The 24,653-nt window shown below is 40.4% G+C and overlaps 1 protein-coding gene and 1 long non-coding RNA gene across 8 annotated transcripts in view, besides 1 other annotated feature; one reads left to right on the plus strand and one right to left on the minus strand.

Moving 5' to 3' along the window:
- LOC105370163 (uncharacterized) overlaps nucleotides 1-14,306 on the plus strand; it is a 45,346-nt gene extending 31,040 nt beyond the window's left edge. Inside the window, exons 2-3 of one of the 2 annotated variants that reach the window (XR_941855.3) lie at nucleotides 7,523-7,645; nucleotides 12,549-14,306. This is a non-coding gene — a long non-coding RNA (uncharacterized LOC105370163). Of the gene's footprint in view, nucleotides 1-7,522; nucleotides 7,646-8,157; nucleotides 8,504-12,548 lie in introns of those variants that run through there. The other variant, XR_001749821.2, reaches the window with a different exon arrangement.
- DCLK1 (doublecortin like kinase 1) overlaps nucleotides 1-24,653 on the minus strand; it is a 363,288-nt gene that overhangs the window by 120,453 nt on the left and 218,182 nt on the right. The gene's annotated exons all lie outside the window — the stretch shown is intronic.
- Nucleotides 3,168-4,367: an enhancer, noted in NCBI's record as "P300/CBP strongly-dependent group 1 enhancer chr13:36466409-36467608 (GRCh37/hg19 assembly coordinates)". NCBI's record gives its function as "activates an origin of replication core promoter dependent on BRD2, BRD4, P300/CBP, MED14 and CDK7 cofactors, with strong dependence on P300/CBP, by STARR-seq in HCT116 cells {active_cell/tissue: HCT116}" and the evidence as "EXISTENCE:reporter gene assay evidence [ECO:0000049][PMID:35650434]".

Here is a 24,653-nt window from a genome sequence, read left to right on the forward strand (position 1 = left end):
ACCTGATAAAAATTACAGAAACCTAAAACATCGTTTAGCTAAGAGAGAAGCTATTGAACACTATGGTCTCTTAGCAACAGCAGGATTCTCCTGAGGTCTGCTGGGCCTCACTGAGAAAATCATGTTCATACACAGAAAATATCAACCCTTCATGCATAATTTCCCTCTTTTTCTTTAAAAATAATCTATCAGAAAGGGTTTGTAATGGATTTATTATTTTTGTAAATACGTTATATGCCATTATAAAAATTCAAAATGTGCAAAAATATTAAAAGAAGGAAGCAATAAATCACCCTAAATTAGGAGTTAGGGGCTCTCCCTGCTGTGTCACACAGCAGTCTTCTGTGTCTTTCCTGGACAACCACTTTTTAAAGTGTAGGACCCAGACTTGTTTCTCTGTCTTTGTTTGGAGTCAGCTAATGATTTCTTAATTGTTTTTTCATTTTTGTTTTAATTCTTTAAATGACTATTTGTTAACTTTGTTAGAAATGTAGAAGACATTCTGTAATTCTGATTCATTCCATCATCGTTTTCTTTCCCCCCTTAAGATTTGGTGATACATCTTATTTTTAAAGAATGAACTTAGCTTTTGGGTCTCTGAGTCACCGCCCAATCCTCATTTATGACATTTATTTTGACAAACCTCTCCTATTACCTTGATTACTGCTTTCTCCCAAATATTTTCCTTCCAATTTATTTATGAAGGGAAATGAAGAGAAAATGCACTAACAGACTATCATAGCCATGTAATTAACAGTGACATATTTACTTGAAATGTATTGTAAAAGAACATATAGTGATGTGGAATGTTTATGAGTGAAAAAATGTAGATTATAAAACAGTATAGTGTGCACATTGTATGCAAAGAAACATTTTTAAAGGATATCCGAACAGATTTTAACAGTGTTTGTTTCCCTTAGATCAAGGCATTGCTTTTACTTTTTTTGCATTTCCAATTTTCTATAATATATGTGTTGTTTTTTAAATGTAAAAATGTTCTTGCATTTTAAAACATTTGAATATCTTAGAATTAATTTAAATAATATATAAGAGGATAAAGTAAAAACTCTCTCTCCCCCACTTCCTCTCACTCTTAGTTCAATACGCTATAGATAACAATTTCTTGGCTGGTCTGTCCTAAAAGGTCAGAGAATATATAAGCATTATAAAAATATGCATACCAGTATGTATATGTGTGTATGTGTTTTCCGGTATAAAAATGGGATACAAAACATAATATTGATAACTTTGATTTTATTTTTGCACTTAACAATCTATATTTGACAATTTACAATATTGGCCTATTTAGGTTGGCCTAATTCTTATTAATGACAGCATAGTATTCCATTAAATGGATATATAGTAATTTACTTAGCCAGATCTCTACTGATAGTTTTTACTTTTTTCCCTCTAGATTTTTGTGATTACAAATAAACTGCAGTAAACCTTATAAAATACTTTGGTATATTTGTGCACAAAATTTCTAGAGACAGAGTTGCTGGATCAATGAGGGCAGACTGACGTGTCTTTAAAATTTTGACAGATGGATGCTGTCTGGCACTATTCTTTCTCATCAACTTGGTATGAGACTGAGCTTCTCCACGCTTTGACAACACTTTCCTTACCTGTTTGAGAAAAAAATGGGATTTCCCTGTTGTATTAGTTTACTTTTCTTTACTACTTAGTAAATTGAAAACTTTTTCCATATATTTAATAAGCCATTTGGACTTTCTCTCTTGTAAATTGCCTGTTAATATCCCTCTGCTTTTTTTTCTGTTTTTTTTTTCACCTTTATTGATTAGCAAATATTCCAATCAATATATTATGAAATGTAGTCTTTTGTAGGACACATTTTGTACAAACAGCACTTTCCCTTTGTCTCCTAATTTTAATTTTTATAGTGTTTTGTCATATAGAATTGTTTTATATTCTGATTGGCCAATCTGTTCTTTTATATGCTCTGGGTATTAATTACTGTAAGGAGACTATCCAATATGATATTTAAACAAAAGGTCACAAAGTATTTTCAATGAATGTTCTCATTAGGTAGGTGGCATTATGGGTCCTGAAAATGACCAATAAGGCAGATGACTTAGGTAGACTGTATAGTGAAGTCTAGTCTCAAGGAATGGCATAAATGTTGAATTTTATAATTTTTTTAAAAAAAACAGTTGACAGAGAGCCAAGCTGGATTATCTATAATTTTTAAAACACTTTCAACCTTTCAAGTTACTATTTCCTTGTAAGAGTTATAACAAGTCATAGATGTTTTATCCCCAATTATAACATTACTTTTGTAAAACAAAATGACTATATTGTAAGTCTAGGTTTATAAATATAGGATGTTTCTTTTTCTCTTTGGATAAAAATGAATTATAGGACTGCTAATGGATATGGAGTTTATTTCTGGGGTGATGAAAATGTTCTAAAATTGATTGTGGTGACGACTGCACAATTCTGCGAATGTACTAAAAACCATCGAATCGTACACTTTAAGTGGGTGAATTGTATGGTATGTGAATCATATCTCAATAGAGCTGCTATAAAAAATAAATTGTGGTGTGTTTTGAGTAGAGTGATGTGCAAAGTAAAGTGCTGTGCTTTGTCACCACACTGTCATAGCATCGTCTGCACCGGCTAGGAAACGGCTTCATTAGGGAACTCTAGAAACATTTGGTTTTCAGTGGATTCATCGTCTGAGGCCCCCTTCCCTCTTTGTTTATTCTCAGCTGTCCTCTTTCCCTTCTCAAATTCTTTCACTCTCTCCTTTAGGGTAGAGATCAGGGCAGATGGAGGGGGGTTTTCCCCTTCCCTTCTATGTTTTTGTCATTCTTCTGATTCCTGGGATTATATAATCTTACCGCAATGCAGATGCTATATAACATAACATGCTACAGTGTGGATTTTAGCATATGGTAAATAGTCTTGAATGATTCAAGGCATTTATCTTGGTGGGTACCAGCTGAGTCATATCATAGGGCAGTTTTATGCTCTTGTGTGTCCTCACCTTGCTGAGGGGAATGTGACACACCGTGTTATGCAATCACTATTTCTTAGAGAGTCTGTTTCACCCTCTCTCCTTGAACACCTGCACTGATTATTCCTTGGTAGACTTTGCTTGCTTCATACATTTTAATCATTTAAGAGCTTTCACTAAAATATAACACAAAGAATAAAAGTATAGGCATTATTGCATTATTCCCAACAGCTTTTGATGACTGTTACCTTAATCACTACATTATTAACCCCCACTGTATGAGTCAAAGTCAAGGTAAGTCGCCTTTCTCTTTCCACAAATCCGAAATGAGTCACTGATGAGCAAAAGTCTGTAATTTAATTTAGTGGAATCATCTTTAACACACATAACTCAGGAAACACTGTCAATGTTTTCTATCCAATTTACTAATACATTTGTGAGGTGTTTCTCTACTTTAGACTTAGGAAAATGCGAATTAGATGTTAGTTTCCAGTAGAAAGTGATCAGATAATTAAACAAAATATATTGAGTATTTTAGAGGATCTCAGAAATGGTCCAGTATATAGTTTAATCCCTCAAGAAGTTCACAGTCAGCAAAGGATTTTAGTCCACGCCTTGCACTCTCCCATGATAAAGGGACAGTCACCTAACACAGGCTGTTTCCCCTTCAACCAGGTCTCACTTCCCTGTTCCCTTTATGTAACATTGTCTGGTAGCCCCTCCTGTTAAACACCTCTGGATCTTTACCTGTTCACTTGTATATTTCAGCATAAGGTAAATAGCCTTGGATGATTCTGGAAAACTTTTCTTGGCTGCAAGCATAAATGGAAAGCCCTTGGTATCCCAGAGGAAGAAAGAGGCATCGCTGAAATATACCAAAAGATGGGCTCTGCTCTCCACATGACAGCACACAAACACAAATTGATTTGTTTTCAGCAGTGTTTTTTACACTTTGGCACCTTGCTTTCAGATAGTCAGTGGTGCCTGGACACATAGGCGGAGCCCTGTAGTAATTGTTCAATGAACGGTGAATGAAGAAATGAGACAAAACCAAAGACATCTACCCTATCTGAGTAGTTTCCTTTAAGGTTCTGAACTACTGGGTTCGGGGCAAGGAGTCCAGCAGAGGTGAAGGGGCAAGCAGCTTTCCCAGAAAGATTTGAAATATTCCTGCTGTTGGCTCACAACACCATTCTAAGTTTATTCATTAACTTATCCCCTTGGCAAATATTTTTTGAACATCCACTGTGTGACATACAAAAAAGAATAAAACCCCGTTTCTATCCTTAAAGAACAAAGGCAAGCCATATTAACAACTTTGACAAAGTCATCAATAGCTACCATTTATTGAGCACTTCCTGTGTGCCAGTCACTTACTACTGGTTGAGCATCCCTGACCTGAAAATCCAAAATCTGAAATGCTTCAAAATCCAAAACTTTTTGAGTGCTGACATGATGCCACAAGTGAAAGATTCTGCACCTGACCTCCTGTGACAGGTCACAGTCAAAATGCAGGTACATTGCACAGGTTATTCAGCGTCTCCAAGAGAGTCACTGCACAGTGTCCTACCTTTTAATCAAAACACAGCATGGTAAGTGGAGACTAAAGCCTGCACTGTCTGTTGTTGCTGCTGTTTAACAGCTGATCCAGGTATTCTGTGATGCTGCTGTGCTGCTTAGTTAATCTGCACACATTATTTTTTTCCTGTATTAATGGTGTATCATATTTTTTACTGTTAAGTACTTATGTGTGAATAAGTGCAGGAAAATGATTGCTTATTGGTAGCCTATAAATTCAGAGTCAGTAATGATGGTGATGCCAAATCACCACAGATCATCCACTGGGGTGGCTGAGATAGTGACACCTTTGCTTTCTGATGGTACAACATACATGAACTTTGTATCATGCATACAATTACTATAAAAATAATATAAAATCACCTTCAAGCTTATATGTATAAAGCGTACATGAAACATAAATGAATTTAATATTTAGACTTGGGTCCCATCGCTAAGATATCTCATGTATATGCAAATATTCCAAAATCAAACAAACAAACAAAAAAAAAACAACCAAACCCTTGTATCTGAAATACTTCTGGCCCCAAGCATTTTGGACAGGGATACTCAACGTGTACTTCCCCAACATGCATGACCTTACTATTTAATGCTAAGAGCTAAGCGCAAATGCAGCCCCATTTTAAAGATGAACTTAAGGCTTAGCACGGCAAGGAATTTATCCAGGGGCACACAGCTACACGGCATCTGCGCCAGAACTTGAACTTGGTGCAGTCTGACGCCAGAGCCCAAGCGTGTATTCCCAGGGTGTAACTGGCACCCTACCTAGGAAGGGCTCTCGCAGTGGAGAGGAGGGAGATTACTCCAGCCTGGGAACAGGTGGGAGGAAAGCTAATATGCACTGGGCACCTCGCTCTGCTACACAATCTTATCTTTGAGCAGTGCCTAGAGGCAGGGTGTAAGAGTGTCCTCAAGAAAAAGAGGAAGCAGCATGTGGAAAGACACAAGGCACAGAGGTGCCCAGGGAAGACAACGCCAGAAGGTGCTCAGCGGAGGGGTGGGAGTGAACAGCCCAGTGTGCCATGCTACACAGACACTTCAGCTCTTCCTTGTTGAGAGTCTTCTTCCCTCCTGAGCCCGCCATTAATGTGTAGGCACGAGGAGCAGAGAGGACCAAGAGAAGATGAACAAGAGCTCAGATTCTGGCAGCATTTCATCTCCAAACTCTCACTGACCATGACCTCTATTTTCAAATATTTGGCTGCTGTAATGATGATTAACAAAAGACTGACTCCAAACTGGGGCATGATTACAAAGATAATCATATTCAAGTAGACTTTGATGCACACTTTCCTTTTTCTTTTTGAGACAGGGTCTAGCTCTGTTGCCCAGGCTGGAATGCAGTTGTGTGATCATGGCTCACTGCAACCTCAAACTCCTTGACTCAAGTAATCCTCTAGCCTCCCCAGTAGCTGTGACTATAAGTGTGCAGCACCACATCCAGCTAAGTTTCAAAATTTTTTTGTAGAGGTGGAATGTTGCCATGTTGTTCAGGCTAGTCTCGAACGATCTCAAGCGATTCTCCCACCTTGGCCTCTTAAAGTGCTGGGAGAGGCCAAAGTGCTGGGATTATAGTCATGAGCCGCCACACCTGGTCACTGAATATGTATTTTTCTAACAGGAAAGGTAAAAAAAAAAAAAAATTAGATGAAAATTCACTGGATGGATTTTAAAGTTTCCTTTGGTCATTCAGAATTATTCTTATTATACCTTTAGAAATATGAACAATTGAATACCAGTAGCTGGATGCTTCATGGTTCTTGGGGGCAGCATTTACTTTTAGACTGGTCCCATTTAAATTACATGTAGGTATATTTTTCTACATTGTATCTATTTTAAAGTGCAATATGACATGATGCACACGCTAATCTTATTCCCACTTCTTGGACTGAGTAAATTGTCTTCTGTAAGTGATATCAGAAGTGGCTAATTATGTCTTTGCATTTATGGCATGTGGGTAGCTATCTCTATAAATTATTTTATGACAAGATTTTAGAGAGGAACACAAATAAAGCACCTATTTTATAAAAAAACTAACCATTTTACAGTCATCTTCTTTATAACTCAGTGTTCATATACTATAGCAAAAAAAAACAAAACAAAACAGTAATTGCCTATACTCTATACAGTTGAGAGTAAACGCTCTTTTAGTATAATGAATATATTTTTCAGTGAAAGTAAAATGAATAAATTTTTAATAGAAAAAACTATTACATCTACTACCAACAATATCAAATTTTTAAAAAATTCTACAAACGCCAGATTGATTTTTTTATGATTTTTTTTTTTGTAGTTCACATAAACCTAAAACTCTCTCTAACAAAAATTGCTATTTTTCTCCTCCAAACATTCTTAGAATAATACAAGTAAGGCGCTTTGTTTTGACATCATTATTCAGGAAAACTTCAAGGATGAGATGTTAAACGTATATATGCCCCAAAAGGAAAGTAATATTTTGAATATTTATTTTCAAACAAGGAAGAAAATTGGTAAGATTTGCTGTTAGAACACACAATTTTCAGAGAGACTTTGCTTAGACTGTATATAGAACAACAAAGAAAAGTAAAAGTAAGTGAGGTCTCTAAAATATGCTGTTAGGCCAGGCGTAGTGGCTCACACTTGTAATCCTAGCACTTTGGGAGGCCAAGGAGGGTGGATCACCTGAGGTCAGGAGTTCGAGACCAGCCTGACCAACATGGTGAAATCCTGTTACTACTAAAAATACAAAAATTAGACGGGTATGGTGCATGCGCCTGTAATCCCAGCTACTTGGGAGGCTGAAGCAGGAGAATCGCTTGAACTCGGAAGCCGGAGGTCGCAGTGAGCAAAGATTGCGCCATTGCACCCCAGCCGGGGCAACAAAAGCAAAATTCCACCTCAAAAAAAAAAAAAAAAAAAAAGTTAAAATATGCTGTTAGAACTTGATATATAGAAAAAAAAAAGTAAAGATTTTTTTTTCTTTGAAAGAAAACAGCAAAGTTCGTCTTATTGAGGCATCCAGTAAAGCTCCACAGAGAAATCATTCCCTCGTGTCTCTTCTGCACTCGGCCTTGGCAGGATAAGATGAAGAGGACGCAGTCCCTACCTCAGGTAAACCTTTAGAGGGGAGGGAGAGACAACTCCACCCTCAGATCATTCCAACATAAGGTGCTAAGTATGCTGGGGTAGAAGACAGAGGTGTGTGGAGGGGGCTCTAGATGCTCAGAAAACGGACATTTAACCCATCTTGAGGGTTGTGAGTGTGGAGGCTCATAGCACAGGGAACACTTGCGGTGCACCTTAGAGAATGTGCAGAGATAAACTAGGTGAAGAGAAGAGCAGGTGCCCCAGGCTACAGGACAGCATGGTCCAGGGCAGGAGAGGTCTAAGGCAGAACAGAGAGTGTGGGAAGGAGAACTGCCAGCCATTCTTCATTATCGGGCCATTGAATTAGAACAGAAGATGAATCAAGAGGATTCTGGAGTGGCAGATAAGGACCAGATGATGTAGGGTATTTGGGACCATTTAAAGAGGATGGGAGAAGGGTGGTAAGGAGGCTCCTTACTCAACAAAATATTTTAAAAGAATAAGTAAGACTTGATCTAAAACGATTTGCCTTTTAGAGAGAACACTGGGAGGCAATGTGGAGGATGGAGCTGAGGAGTGCAAGGTTGCAGGCAAGGAAACCAGACAGGGGCCTGTGCTGTGCTAGGGAAGTGAGGAGTGCCTGGACCTAGCCATGATAGCAAGAATGGAAGGCGGGAACCAGGTGTGAGGTAAGACTGGCTGGATCAGAGAGATCTGACTTTTTAGGAGCTCCATAAATAGCCAAGGGGTGAAGAAACCAATATGTAGAAGGAATTCTTGGACAACGTTGCTTGGGCTATGGCAAGTGGAGTCATGATAAGCCATATTCTTGGAGAACTTTTCCCATTAAAGGCTGTTTATCAAACCATAGGAAGAAAAATGAGAAACAGACATATTTCTAAAGTAGCACATCATTTGACTTTTATGATTAGTTGGGGGATTTTGTTGGTAGTGATGGTTGGGTAGAGGTCAAGTCTACCTTCTCATGTAAGCAAAGCATAAACATTTTAAATCATCCACTTATAAAAACAAAAGCAACTGAAAACAACAGCAAACTTGATTCAGGTAATCCAATGGAAGCAAACACACCTGATAAAGGAGAGTGTCACTGATAAAACTGTACTTGATAGTCGTACTTAGAGGGTTGCTGTATCTTAAACATTTTAATTTTTCATCTTAAACTCTGCGTTTATAAAAATTAAATTTCACTTGGAATTAAGAGGCCATCTCCATCAGCAACAGGATAAATTATTAATATTGTAGGTCTTCAAACATATATGAAAACATTAAATTATCTGGATTTAAAATATATGATCTAAAATAGCAGAGGGCATATGTGGCTGATTAGGTTAATCCCTTTCTTTTGAGTTTGGTTTTCTTTGATTCCCTCCCATTACTGCTTCCAAGAGTCTACTTTAAACACACACTTAAAGCCTAAGAAAGTCTAAATAAGTCCCAATTACAGGTACAAGATTATTTCCTGGAACTAAAAAATGTCAATGAATGTCTTATCCTAGAAGAGTAAGCAGTAAGACTTCTCTTCAATTGCCAGCTAAACACTTAAGTGTCCTAGCCCAGTCTTCCCGGAAAAGCTACAGGAAAGAAACCAAACATACTTCTCATTACCCCAAGTTCTTGGAAAGATATTTAATGAAGTCTTGCAAGTATGCATTTAAATGGAAATGTCTGAAAAACTTGCTTTTACTAATGAATGAGAGGAAACATCAGCAGTAAACATTTCTTATACTATAAAGATTTCATTTGTAAATAATGAGAATCAAAATTGGCTACGATCTCACCATTTAGGCATATTTGCAACAACATTGAAGGAAAAAAATTCAGTACCACCTGGTTGATTTAAAGGAAATTGTGAATTATCACTTTAAAATTCACCCAGGCATGAATGAGTAAAAAGCATATGGCAGCTCTTGGTTGGTGTGACCATGGCTGCCATTTTATGTGTCACAGTCTGGTTACAACTTTAAGTTTGTGTGCTCTTGAACATGGTGGGTTTTTTCTTTTTTTTTTCTTTTTGAGACAGGGTCCTGCTCTGTCGCCCAGGATGGAGTGCAGTGGCACGATCTCGGCTCACAGCAACCTTTGCCTCCTGGGCTCAAGCGATCCTCCTACCTCAGCCTCCCAAGTAACTGGAACTATAGGCAGGTGCCACCATGCCCAGCTAACTTTGTATTTCTTGTGGAGACAGAGTCTCACTATGTTGCCCAGGCTGGTCTCAAACTCCCGGGCTCAAGTGATCTGCCCTCTTCAGCCTCCCAAAGTGCTGGAATTACAGGCGTGAGCCACCACCCTTAGCATGTGTTTTGATTCCTTAAGTGATAAGCAGAAAATGATGCTCTGCTTATAGGGGGACAGCATGCAATGACTGACACTGAGGGATACCTCTGGGTTCCAGTTTATGCCCTATCTTTTCCCAAACAAGAACAATGATTTCAATTCCATATTATCAAAATGAAGATAAAAATGTGAGATGCTAGCGTCATTGATCCCAATCATCTCCTTATTCTTAATGTTCCCAAGCCCCAGGATAATAATATGAGAGAGAGAGCAGCTTGCATGTTTTTCATTTTAAGTATGTGTCAACGAGAAATACAAGTGTGTGTGTGTGTGTGTGTGTGTGTGTGTGAGAGAGAGAGAGAGAGAGAGAAAGAAGACAATTAAGTGTACATAAAGTGTACATTGTACTATACAAGGGAGGCTATCAGCCATGACACTGATTACAAGAACTAGAGAACTAACTAAGCAAGCAAGAAAAAAAGCCTTATAAAAATGTGATTTGGCCATGTGGAAAGAATACTAATCATGGTAATTTCTCAGGACTGCTTACCCTATCCATATGTCTAATTACAATGCAGCACAGTGATGAATATGTAAATCATTAAAAAAGTGTTAGATTAACTTGTGCACATTTTTACTACAACACTGTACAGTGTTAAATCTATCTTCATAATTTATCACTCATAAACTATGGTCATTGGCCCATAACTTACAACTTTGGAAGCTTATAAGAAATGACAAGGTGGGAAGGGAATTAAATGCATATTTAGAGTAATAATAATTTTGAAAAAATGGCACATATAAATGAAGACAAAAAGAACGCTATTGGTAAAAGATATGGCTTGCTATTCTATAATACACGCTGTTTCTAAATTAAATTTACTTTAGATGTATTCATGGGTTAAAAAATGAACATATATTTAACAATATAAATTAAAGAAACCAAATCTATGTACAGCTTTCTCTAAAATCATACCTACCTTATTAAATATATTTACTAAGTATTTTCTTCATTAATTAGCACAGAAACTGTAGAAGAATATGTTACAGGAATTAAGTCAAGTTAAAATAAATGAGAAAGAAGGAATTATTGAATATAGGTAATAGAAATACCTTGATAATTTGGGTAATACAACATATGGCCAAAAAACAAATGTAATCAGGGAGAGAGTATAAAGCTGATTTCTTTAGCTTTAAGAGGTTTAGGTTCAACTAAATAAACTTTTTTTTTTTTTTTTGAGACAGAGTCTCGCTCTGTTGCCCAGGCTGGAGTGCAGTGGCACCATCTTGGCTCACTGCAACCTCTGCCTCCCAGGTTCAAGCAATTCTTGTGCCTCAGCCTTCCAAGTAGCCGGGATTACAGGCGTGCACCACCACACCCAGCTAATTTTTTGTATTTTTAGTAGAGATAGGGTTTCACTATGTTGGCCAGGCTGATCTTGAACTTCTGGCCTCAAGTGATTCGCCAGCCTCAGCCTCCAAAAGTGTTGGGATTTGTACAGGCATGAGCCACCATGCTGGGCCTAAATAAACATTTTATAAAAACTACTCACCAAGTGCTCTGTCTGAGCATTGCGCAAGCTTACACTACTTTACAGCAGTGTTTCTCAACCTTTGCACTATTGGGCTAGATAATTCTTTGTTTCGGGGAGCTGTGCATTGAAGGATGTTTTTCCCCGGCTTCCCTGGCCTCTATCCACCAGATGCCAGTAGCATCACCTCCCACCCTCGGCTGTGATAACCAAAAATGTCTCCACACACTGCCAAATGTACCTTGGGGGACAAAATCCCCTCTGTTGAGAAGGGCCGGATTATAGAATGTGGAAATAAAAATTCCGTGCATGGAGTCATAACTGAAGGGCACTTGCAGAGGTCACTATTCTCAATAAGAACAGGGAACTTTATGATGAGAACTATTATGCCACAGGGAGAAATTAAACTCAGCGAAAGGAAAGACTCAACAAAGTATTTTTTTTTCTTAAGGCAGGTGTTGAGACAGTGAGAAAGAAACAAGAAATAAGGAAATGTTCTCTCTCACTTATAAAATTAAGAACAGAGGAAATAAAATTAATTCAGTAAACAGTAGATTACAAAAATATGCTTCAGTTCTATATTATGATTCAAATAGGGAGATAAAAACTGAAAGATAAAACAGAGGAGACATAAGTAGAAAATGACAGACTTGGCCAGGCATGGTGGCTTACGCCTGTAATCCCAGCACTTTGGGAGGCCAATGCAGGTGGATCACTTGAGGTCAGGAGTTCAAGACCAGCCTGGCCAACATGGTGAAATCCAATCTCTACTAAAAATACAAAAAAAATTAGCTGGGTATGGTGGCAGGTGCCTGTAGTCCCAGTTACTTGGGAGGCAGAGACAGGAGAATTGCTTGAACCCAGGAGATGGAGGTTGCAGCGAGCTGGGATTGTGCCACTGCACTCCAGCCTAGGTGACAGAGTGAGAGACTCTGTCTCAAAAAAAAAAAAAAAAAAAAAAAAAAGACAGACTATGAGGATGTGGAGGTGGGGTGGCCTTGCGGGGAGGAAATAGGGTAGAACTTTAGAAGACAGAGCCAGAGGTTTGGTAGTTAAAAGTGGGGATTCTCCTGGCACTCCCTTTGCGTGTTCTCTTACAGGCCTCCTCTCTTAGACCCTGGCCCAGCCTCCTCCACCAGGCTGTCCTCCATCCTTCTCCTCAGGCCCCACCAGCTGCTGCTTGCTACAGCATTCTCTTCAGGGAAGTCCTGAGGATGCTGCCAGAAGATACTGAACACCAAGGAGGGGACTCACTCACTGCCAACCACGACTTCCACAGAAAGCTTGGGAATTGGGGAATGGCATGATCAAAGCCTTGCTTTATTATGCAGAGCAAATTTTTTTTTTTTGAGGGAGCATTTGTGTGGAGAATAGTGAGGAAGGGAACTAAGTGATGAGAGCCTAAGTCAGAGCAATGGCAGAAGAAATTGAACATAATAGAACGGTTTATGTTTGGTACCACACTTTGAAGGGTAATGTATGTTATTTGTTCTTTATCATAGTCAACAACAAATCTAGATTTGCTTTATGCACAGGAAGTATTTAATATTAGTTAGGTTTAATTTGATTCAATGCATTTTAAGTTAACCAATGAGCCCTATTGAACTCATAAGGAAACTAAAGCCGAGTAAGGTTAACTGACTTGCCCACAGTTAAAGGGTTGGAAAGTTTTGGAGCCAAGGGTGAAACCCAGGTCTCCTTAATTCAAAATCCAAGGCTTCAATCATGACACCAGTTGCCACAAATCTGTGGCATATATGGTGATTCTATTTCTTTGCCACCACAGACATTGCTAATCGATTTCCTACGCAAGCTTGGATATGGCCTCAGAATCCTTCCAAACACAGGGCTCCAGAGACCCACCTCAAATCAACTTTTCTGTATCCTGGCAGGATAGCATGCTCTCTCTCCAAGATAAAGGAAGGAAAATGGTAGAGGTGATTTGCGGGCAGAAGCATTATCACTTGGCAGCTGTGGGCGTAGATTGTGAGAAAGAGAAAAGGGTAGGCATCAGGAATGATGAAGGATGTAAGCCTGGGGGATGAGGGGGATGGTGACACTAATTAACAGAATAATGGAACTGGAACAGAAGCAGAGCTGTAACATGGTGAATGTGGTCTTGAGGTGTTGTCCAGTTCTTAAGGCGGTGGGGGGTGCTGTGACAATGACAGGTGAAGGCTGCTGCTTATGGAAAGACACAGGCAGGGCCTCCTAACACTTCTAGCAATTTCAGCCCCCGAAACAGTGACAACTGTGGATCCTAAAGGCATATGTCCAAAAGATGCTGGCCAAACATTTCAGAAAAGATGAAATAAGGAGGTCTCAAAGTCCTGCTTTTCAAGACACTGCTAGGAATCTTTTTGCAAAGCAAGAAAATTCTTTTATCATTCAAACAATTAAATAATAATTAAAATAATTAAATATAAATAATTAAAATTAAAATTTTCATACACCAGGTTTCATTTCAGTGGGAAGAATGGGGCAGGGAAAGAAAATGGCTCTTCAGCAGCCTTCTCAGTGACAATTATAAACAATTTCTGTAAAACTTCACACCCTAAATGAAGCACCAAACCTGAAGTGCTTAATCAAAACAAGATGTTTTGATTGAAAGAAAGCTTTGATGAGTTGCTTCTATCAATTGCCCTTCAGCATAAGATTAGAAATGCAAAGGCTTCTATCATCCCCATGATGTTCTTTAAACTTCATTATGTCAGGCACACATGGCAAATTAAACAGAATGCTACAGAAAGTGTCTGGCCATAAGAGGAGGCAGAGGCACTGCTTACAGAAACCTTGCTAGACAACTAATTGAACAGTTTTCTAACCTCAGAACAGACGTGCTTTCTATTATTTAGCATTTAATATGCTTCCTCTCTCTCTCTCATTTCTTTTTACCTTTAGCTTGTTTCTTCCTATTTCATTGCCATCTACTTTATAAATGTCTTGATCAAATTATAAAGTTATAACATTATACAGATTCTATTTGGTCCCATATGGCTAATGTCAACCAGAGAGCCTTTAATATTTTCTAAGGAACAGGATATCATATTTAATGCCCTCAAAACTAATTTCAAGCTAAAAAATGTTGAAGGCTATACATACACACACACACACACACGAATGTTCTACAACAAGACTATCCACCCCCTCCAAAGTCAAGCTTTGATATATGCCCTAACAAAATAAAAAAAAAATTCAAATATGCTTTACAACAAACTACTAAAAACCACAGACCAACATAATTTCTTTAGAAGCATAAAGTCACTTGTGATCCATATGCCAAAAGCATAACAAAATGCAAAAAAAGCCCTTAAGTTCATTGATTGACCTAACAATATCAATTTTTCTCTACACTTCAGTGAATTATATACATGAAAGAATATTTCGATCTTAGGAATTCTTCATCTGGTTAGTTTTGTTTCCAGTGAAGCAAACATCAAACAGGGTCTTATATGTTTATGGATAGGTACAAATCCATGGAAAAGATTCCAATTACTTTTTTTTTTTTAAAGTTTAAAGCTGTGTGTTATGTGCAGAGGGGGTAGTACAAAGAGCTATGGATATTCTAAACCAAATATTAAAACAGCATTTCAAGCAGCTCAAAGTATCATACAACATTTTCAGTAGTAAGGAAATTTCACTCAGCAGCAATATTTTTAATAGAAAAACTTTTTTGTTTTTGAGACAGAGTCTGACTTTGTTGCCCAGGCTGGAGTGCAGTGGCTCGATCTTGGCCCACTGCAATCTCCGCCTCCTGGGTTCAAGCTATTCTCGTGCCTCAGCCGGGTGCCACCATGCCCGGCTAATTTTTGTATTTTTAGTAGAGACGGGGTTTCACCGTGTTGGCCAGGCTGGTCTCGAACTCCTCACCACAGGTGATCTGCTCGCCCCAACCTCCCAAAGTGCTGAGATTACAGGCATAAGCCACTGTGCCTGGCCTAATAGAAAAATCTTCTAAAGACTCTTTAACTGGGGACTTTATCAAACATTGCACTTGCTGCTCTGATAAGAAAGAAGGGAGATGGGGAAAGTGGTGGGTGCTGGATGGCATATAGCTCCTTGTCTATGTCCACCTCCTTCCCTTTTGCCTTTAGGAAAGAAGGGCTGGACAACGATGGAGAGTCCTTGGGAGAGCCAGAAAGATTTATCTGGGCTAGCTGGTACAGTGAAGACCAAGCAAAGTGGGAAGCTTTTTGGTTTCCCAAATTAGTCTCAATGCTTTGCTCGGGCACGGACAGCATGTACAGTAGGCAGCAATCTGCAAAATTGCAAAGGGGCATTTTGGCTTTTTGCCCTTCTACTGTGATTTCTGAAATCTAGTCACCTTTTCTAAGGTACCCTCTTCCCCATCTCTGCAACTCATTCTGTTATTTCCTCCATGACAGTTGTCACAACCTGAAACTATCTGTGCACTTAATTGTCTGTTTTCTTATTGTTTCCTACCCTAATAGATTGTCATTTCCACCAGGGCAGGAGCCTGGCCTGTGCTGTTCACCTCTCATCACCAGCACCTAGACTACTAATGCCTGGCACAGAGTTGGCCTCAATGAGAGGGTGTCAAAAGATAAACGAACCCTTGCTTGCGCCTGGCCTCCTGTCCTCAACTTATGTTACTGTGGCCTTATGTTGCCTTGTGGTTAGTCAAAGACCCCCATCAGTCTTACCCTCCAGCCAGCCATTGCCATTGGATAAACATTGTGTTTTCCACCCCCAGCTCCAGAGGTGGGCCTTGGTTGAGCTAAGCCAATCACAGTTTTCTTCTGGCACAGTGTAGAGGTAGACATGTGATATACTTTGAACTTTGTCTATTCAGAGAAATGCTCAGAATTTTGTTCAATGGTTGAGGAAAGAGAAGATCCCACCCTATCCCAGGAGCCAGGAGGCGCACAGCCCTGGGGGCTCTCAGTGGCCACCTCACTTCCACAAGGTCAAAGCCCATGAGGTCAAAGCTCACACACAGAAGATGACAAAGTCAAGAGATTTTCAAAGACAGCAAGCCACAACTCTGAGACTTCAAAATCCTCTGGCTCAAATCAACCCCGAGGGCCACCTCTGAATTTTCCACTTAGATGAGTTAATTTGTTCTCTTCCTTTTAAGACTGCCAGAGCCAGGCCAGGTGTGGTGGCTCACGCCTGTATTCCCAGCGCATTGGGAGGCCAAGGCGGGTGGATCACTTGAGATCAGGAGTTCGAGACCAGTCTGGCCAACATGGTGAAACCCTGCCTCTACTAAAAATCCAAAAAAAGTAGCCAGGTGTGGTGGTGTGGGACTGTGGGCTCCGTCTCAAAAAAAAAAAGACTGCCAGGGCGAGGATTTCCTAATTGATACTCATCCCATCTGAAGTCCCAGTCGCCCATTATATATCTCGGCAAACTTTCATTTAATTAACAGAATAAGCATGATCTTAATGAGATTTATCTCTTGTGGACAGTATTTTTACTTAAAAATGGAAACAAACTGATCCGAATTTGTGTTTCATTGTTAGAATGTTTTTGAAATGGATGTGGAATAGCATTGTTCTTTTCCTCCCTCAGCCACCCACATTGCTAGCTTCCAGGACCACTCTATCCTGTTCCAAATTACTGGAATAATCCAGACAGCAAAACAGATAGAAACAGCATTGCAACCACACAGCTTCCAGCTTCCTGCCTCATCTTTATATGGGAGACTCTCAAGAACAGAAAAAAGTTTTAAAAAGTTTCCTAAATTTAGGAAGTAGATGCTTTCTAATTTTCACTTTATGGTTGGCCAAGTATTTTCTTTTTTTTTTTTTTTAAATAAAGGAAAACAGAACTATAGCAAAGCCTAACAATGTCTGTTAAATGAATAGAAAATAGAATGAGAACAATTAATAAGAAATAAATTTAAAGAGCTATGAGATTTCTGAGGAGAGAATGGTTACTTCTGGTGTGAAGGGTTAGAAAGATTTCACAGAAATTGCATTTGTGCTAGATTTTGATGGATGGTAAAGAGCAACAGGCAACAGAGATGAAAGGAGGGAATGAAACCTTAAATTATGTCCAGGAAACTAGGAGTGGCCCAGTTAGACATGAACACAGGAGATGTGTTGGTTGGGGGAAGAAGTTACAGATAAAGTCTGGAAATGCAGTTTGAGAGCAGACTTGGAGAACTCTGAAACCCTCAAGTCAACTGGCTCAGGGGAAATCACTGAAGAGTTATTAGCAATACAATGACATGGCCAGGGTGAGTTGTAGGACACCTTGGTTTGGCAGTGGCCTGAAGCATGGTCCAGAAGTCACAGAGACCTAAATTGGGATACAGAGTGTGAAACTTGATTATGCAAATTGAGCCATTCTTATCATACCCAACTAAGCCAGAGTCGAGGGCCCGGAGTCAGGTGGTAAGCACTCAGGACACAGCATCTGCTCCAAGAATTGACTTTTCTGCAAGCCCAGCTGCTAAAATGGCAAGCTGTAACCTTAAAAACAGTGTCACCTAGTAGCTGCTGAAACGACCCGCCATGACTCCAAGACTGGTTTTTCCTACCACCATCACTGACACCCACTAATCAGAACTTGCCAGCTCCCAGAAGTTTCTCTAGTGCCAGTGAGCTTTCTTCCACAACAATATGTAACATTTCTTTTATTCATTTTCCTTTATTTATTTGAGACAGGGTCTCAGTCTATCACCCAGGCTGGAATGCAGTGCTGCAATCATGGCTCACTGCTCACTTGACCTCTCGGACTCAAGTGAGCCTCCCACCTCAGCCTCTGAAGCAGCTGGGACAACAGGTGTGCTCTGCCACACCTGGCTAATTTAAATTTTTTTTGTAGAGACAGGTTCTTGCTATGTTTTCCAGGCTGGTCTCGAACTCCTGGCCTCAAGTGATCCTCTCACCTTAGCCTTCCAAAGCGCTAGGATTACAGGCCTAAGCCACTGTCCCTGGCCCACATTTCTCTTTATAATAAAACTCCCAAGCTTCCCTTTTTCAGACATACCAAAGCCCACCTCAGTCTGTGTGTATGCCCCAAATTGCTATTCTGTGATTCCCAAATAAAACATTTAATTTAGAGATTTGTTTCTATGTTTTCTTTTGATTGCAACAGGAGCGTATGGGGAAAGGCAGGATAGGACAGCCTGCAGAGGCCATCCCAGGCCCCAAAGCCACCCCATTTCTCTGCATTACAGTTGGTGTCAGCAGAGCCCAAGCCAGGGATTAGGGGACACTATGGCTCAGAGGTTCAAGCTAAGCATGGGTTAAACAGTCTTGTGAACTATCCTCAGACCCTCACCACCATCTTCAATTTTACATCTATGAAAAAACTTTAAAAAAAAAAAAAAAGAGCCTAAAAACCAAAGTATAGAGTATAACAATTTACAAGTAGGAGCTTTCAGAATAAATGTAATTATTATTATATAAATTATCTTTAAGTTTAAAAATAACAGTTCTAAGAACATTTAATTTTTTTTCCTCCTTGTTCTGGGGTGGCTTTGCGATTTTAGTCTAGACGTATTCATACCCTTAAAAATGAGCTTTAGAGTTTAGGATCTTAAAATAGGACTGTGCTGACATAATACAACTCAAGAAGGAACAATGGTTGGGGTACAATTTGTTTCTCCTTTCTCCTGATGAGGTTTGAATTAGTTGGAGATGGAAAATTCAGAACAGATAAATTATAGAAGGAACTAAACTTTTAGTATACTAAAATGTATTAGTATAAAAGATCTATGACATTTTGAATAAGGCATAGATATTAGGAAACAAGTCTCAGCCAATACTATTCATCATTTCTCAATAGAAGATAAAAGCTTTCTCATCATCCAAAGAGGCAGGCCATTCAGTTATTCAAATTAAGTAGGAGAAAATGCTGGGTTAAGGACAAAGAAAAAGACCTGGATTATGCTAATTCTTAACTAGTTGATGATAGAGGCTCCTCCAGCCTTTCTTGTGCTATCCTTTGTTGGGGCATGATTTAGCTCCGAAAAGCTTCTCTAGTGCCAGTGAGCTTTCTTCCAAAACAGTATGTAACATTTCTTTTATTCATTTTACTTTATTTATTTGAAACAGGGTCTCAGTCTATCACCCAGCTCCTATTATGGATTTCAGGCAGAAAGGTAGTTTGTCATACAACTTTGTCCCAATGGAACTTTGCTCTTGTCGCCCAGGCTTCAGTGCAATGGCGTGATCTTGGCTCACTGCAACCTCTGACTCCTGGGTTCAAGCGATTCTCCTGCCTCAGCCTCCTGAGTAGCTGGAACTACTGGCGCCCACCATCATGCCCAGCAAATTTTTGTATTTTTAGTAGAGATGGGGTTTCACCATGTTGGCCAGGCTGGTCTTGAACTCCTGACCTCAAGTGATCCACCCACCTCGGTCTCCCAAAGTGTTAGGATTACAGGTGTGAGCCACCACATCTGGCCGATTCATACTTTTTTGAACAAGAAACCAAAAAGCTTTCTGCAATTTTTTAAAAAGATGTATCTCTACAAAGCAAGAAGAAAAAGAAAACATGTTTCCAGACGCTTTCATATCTCAGGAAGCAGAGACAGGCTCCTAATTAGATCTGAGCACGCTCAGTAGGTATGTTTGGACTGTGTCAGCACCACACAACATGTATTTTCAATAGCACCCGGGAGCGGCATTTTATGTTGCAGAAAAAGAAATGAGGTGGCTGTAGGTGGGGCCACATGGCTGCTGAGCCTCCTGGGGGCTCCTGGATACTCACATGTGTGAGTGCTCCCATTTCAACACTTACAACTTCCTCCTCTCCACCTTGTCTTTCTCCAAAGAGGGTGTGAGAAATGAATATTTGCACATAAAATGGAAGACGCTGTACATGTGACACACGCAAACATTAAAAATATGGGTCCTGGTGCCAGGCAGGCTTGCTGGCAATCCTGGCTCTCCACTGTATGACATTAAGCAACTTACTTTGCCTCTCTAAGACTTCCTCATCTGCTAGGTGGGATGATACTCACCTCATGGTTTTTGGGTGGGATTTATGAGATTTTGTATGCAATGAGAAATGGCCGGAACACTGTAAACCCTCAATAAACTCTGGTTATTAATTGCTGTGTGCATATGTGTGTGTGTGTGTGTGTGTGTGTGTGTGTGTGTGTGTGTGTATTTTTTTTTTCTACAAAGGAAAAAAAGTGCTTAATTTATGCATTCATAGGAAGTCATGTGGCAGGGTTTTTAAAGTCAAGGGTGAGGACAAAGGTGGAGTATTGACAGATTCAGGGGACAAGGAGGCATTTTCAACGAGAGCTAATCCTTTTTACTAGAAAGGGTGAAATGACACAGACCACCCTAGACTTTATTACTCCTTAAAAGAAAACAAAAATCTCCCCTGGGCATGAGACTTTGCCTCTCTCACCAAAAACAGGCTTGCTTCTACAGCTCCATCTTGAAAAGCTTCTAGCAGCCAGCACCTCCGTCCTCTGTTCTCGCCCTGCCTCACCTGTCATTTTGCTAAAGACACCCGCATCCATCCGCTTTGCTTCTCCTTTGTCTTCCCCCAGGTGCTATATCCTGAGGTTACTCAGGAGGGAACAGGAGAGCTACAAATCCAGACACGTGTTCTCCAGCTCCTCTAAGTTGAATTTATCAAGGAGACAAAACAGGACCCAGGATCACTACCTGCAACTCCCTTAATTGTAACCTACTTTCCGATAAAAATTACATGCTTTTGAAACCAGCAATAATAAACTGAAATGCACGAACAGTCAACACAATGACAAAATGTACTCTGCAGCGATTGAGGAGACATTGTTACATCTTTTAAAATCAATCTGTGATCTGCCTCTACAGGAGATGAATGAAAGTGCATAGAAGACAAAAGAATGTGATAATAACAGAGATAATACTCAGCCCCAGTACATCCAATCTTTTGTTGGGTCAATAACCATTTGAAAAGGAACTATGGATTTTGTGCCTAATAGAAATGAGAGGACAGCTCCAAGATAATTTGAATATTTCTTTCCCTTTTTTCCTTTTCCTTCCTATGCTGGAAATAAAAAGGTTGATGTCAACATATTTCTTAGAACATAGAGTTCCTTAAAACCGAACATGTCTGGGATGACCAAATCCCTTCCCAATCCCACAGGTTTCTCTTTGATAGACCTACAGTGAAAACTAGCAGCATCCTGACTTCCCAGGGGCCGCTGTGGCAGCACCTTCCTGGCAACAGAACATACAATGAACACACTAATGTGGTAATGAACTGACATCCAGAGAACAGACCAGAAATTGCTGGAGGCAGGAAGCGGGGAATTTGAGGTGGCAAAAAAGAAGAGCATCCTTCACACAAACCTGCTATCTCTATTCTTTGTGCAATTAATCATTTTAGAAACTAGCAAAAGACAATGATGCATAATTGGCCGATTGAGGGATGTGACACTAGAGAGATTTTTTCAAATCTTACTTCGTGAAAAGTCATCAGTGGTTTCAAATCTTAGAACACAGGTCTAAATAACTGTTAAATTTTGGCCAGGCATGGCGGCTGATGCCTGTAATCCCAGCACTTTGGGAGGCAGAGGTGGGCGGATCACAAGATCAGGAGATCGAGACCATCCTGGCTAACACGGTGAAACCCCATCTCTACTAAAAATACAAAAAAAAAAAAAAAAACTAGCCAGGCATGATGGTGGATGCCTGTAGTCCAAGCTACTTGGGAGGTTGAGGCAGGAGAATGGCGTGAACCCCGGAGGCAGAGCTTGCAGTGAGCAGAGGTTGCGCCACTGCACTCCAGCCTGGGTGACAGAGCGAGATTCCGTCAAAAAAAAAAAAAAAAGAACTGTTAAATTTTACCACCAACAACGACCTTTTCAGAGATAAACACTTGTACCATTGCTGCTCCAAGCAATGGCCCCACCTCTCCAGGGATATTTGTCTGCCCACCACCACAGGACACCCACGGGGCCACAGTGGCAGATCTCCTGTTAGAGAGAAGGTGGTGGGATTTCTGTGAGGTTTCCTTTAGTGCTGGAGCTCAGCTAGACATGTGGGGCCACATCACTCTGGTCTAGACCCTAGGATGTCTCTGCTGTTGTAGTATTTATGCCTTAAATAGGAGGAGGCGGACCTCTAGGACTAGTATTGCCTCTGCCACCCAGAACATTACAATTTCTCAATTTAAGCTGCCCTTTGTGTTTTGAAGTACAGCTGCTACTAGGATGTGGATCTGAACAATTTCTTGTTCTGGTTACTGAGGATAACCAGACAGTAAATGGTTTAGGACTTTAGTGGTCAGTCATCGCAAAGAGGCCATATACACCCTTTAACTTATACAGAGATCCAGAGAGCTGATTGGATAAAACAGCATCTGGCCCCAGCAGTGGGCTGATTGTTTTGTTGTTTAGAGAGCAGGGTGTCATAGTAAGGGCACATACTAGGAGTCCTGTGGCCAGGACCCTTGGCCCTTCCATCATAGCTGTGGGACCCTGGAGAGGTAGCTCATCTCTCCAACCATGCTTCCCAAGTGAGCAAATAAGGACCACTGTACCTTCCTTCGGGGTGGCTGTGAGAATTAAATGGAATATGTTTCATACAGCGCCTGCCCCACAGTAAAGCTCAATCAATCAATCACGGCCCTCCCTTTCTGAATCCTTCCTTGAATTCTTTGCATCCTCCTCATGGTCCTCAGCATAGAGTTTGGCATGCAGGGGGCTCTCAGGCAATGCTTGGCCAACTCCAAGTGATAGCGGCAGGAGGCACAGAAATTGTAGGCAGACAGGGGTAGGTCCGTGGCAAAATCCCATGTTTGAGCCAAAAAGCCACAGCACAAAATGAGAACTTCTATTCCTGTTTGCCCACTGTCTCCCAATTAGTTCTTTCTGAATAATGTCTTTTTACCAATCGAATGTTGTCTTTTTCAAAACTACCTATGGCCCACCCCACCCCCAGTCCTGTGCCTATAAAGACCCCAGACTCAGCTGGCAGAAGAGAGAAGCAGCTTGACTGGAGAAAGATGATTCGACTTCAGTGGGACAGCTAGACTTTGGAGGACAGACGGCTTAACTTCAGGGAAGAGCCAGCTAGTGACAACCGGACTTCAGGGAAGATTACCTGCCCAACCTGACCCCTCTCCAGCTCCCCTCTCTGCTGAGAGCAACTTCTATCACTAAGTAAAATTTTCTACCTCCACCATCCTTCAAGTATCTGTGTAACTAATTCTTCTTGGACACCAGACAAGAGTTCAGGACCCACTGAGTGCAAGTACCCAAAAAAAGCTATCACAGTGGCCCTTTGCCCTCACTGGCAGAGGGCAGCTGTCCCACACTATGAGGCAAGTCCACTGAGCTGATAACACACCACTGTCCACGGACAGCAGAGCTAAGATAGCATTGTAACACACCCTCTGGGGTCTTGGGGGTTGCAGAGAGCCCCACCTGGTCTGGCTGAGGGGCCTACAGAGAGTCTGCTCCTGCTGGCGCCCAGAGTAGCTGGCCGGATCCTGCCCTTGCTCACTCATATGCTCCTTCCTGCAAAAGGTTGAGCATGGTGGGCCAAAGAAATGGGGCACCTCCGTCGCAAGTCTGACAAGGGGTGAGAAAATTCCTGCATCACAAGGAGCTTCAAAGATATGTGACTTATTCCAGGGCAGTGTCTTGTACCATGCAGCTTGATGTGAAACGGTCCTGGAATACAGCCACGTGACTTTGATGATCGTCTGCCCAAAGGGCCTTGTGTTAGTTCAGTTTCAGCTGAAAATATTACCCAAGTGCAGTCCCAAAGCACTATTAATGCAGGGTCCCATGATACTGGCCTGGATACTTAAAAGATAAGGAAGATAATGGTATATTCTTTCACCAGCACCTACCTAAAATACATTTTCCCCTTAGCATACAATATTCATACCCAGTGCTCTTGACTTCACTTCTTAATGAATACTTTCCTGAAACCATGTCCAACCACAAATGCTCAAATGCAATTCTTTAACATTTGGCACTTCCATTATGCCTTTGGTAAAGAATTTAAATTTTTTGGTACATGTCTTTCTTCCTAACCACTTTCTCAAATAAATTATTTTTAATGGAAATACACAGAAAAGGCTATCTGCATATACCCTTGGCTATCAAAGTTTTAATTTTCCCACTAAATTACATTTTTTTTCTTAAAACTCTGACTATGCAGACTCCTCACAATGTTAGGCAGAAACAGAATAAACCGAATTCTTGTTATTCATTGTTCCTAAGTGTTTTTTCCCAGCAAAAAGTCTGATACTGGGTGTGTAAGTGTTTC

The sequence above is a fragment of the Homo sapiens genome, chromosome 13 (genome assembly GCF_000001405.40).
Source record: "Homo sapiens chromosome 13, GRCh38.p14 Primary Assembly".
Classification (NCBI taxonomy): domain Eukaryota; kingdom Metazoa; phylum Chordata; class Mammalia; order Primates; family Hominidae; genus Homo; species Homo sapiens.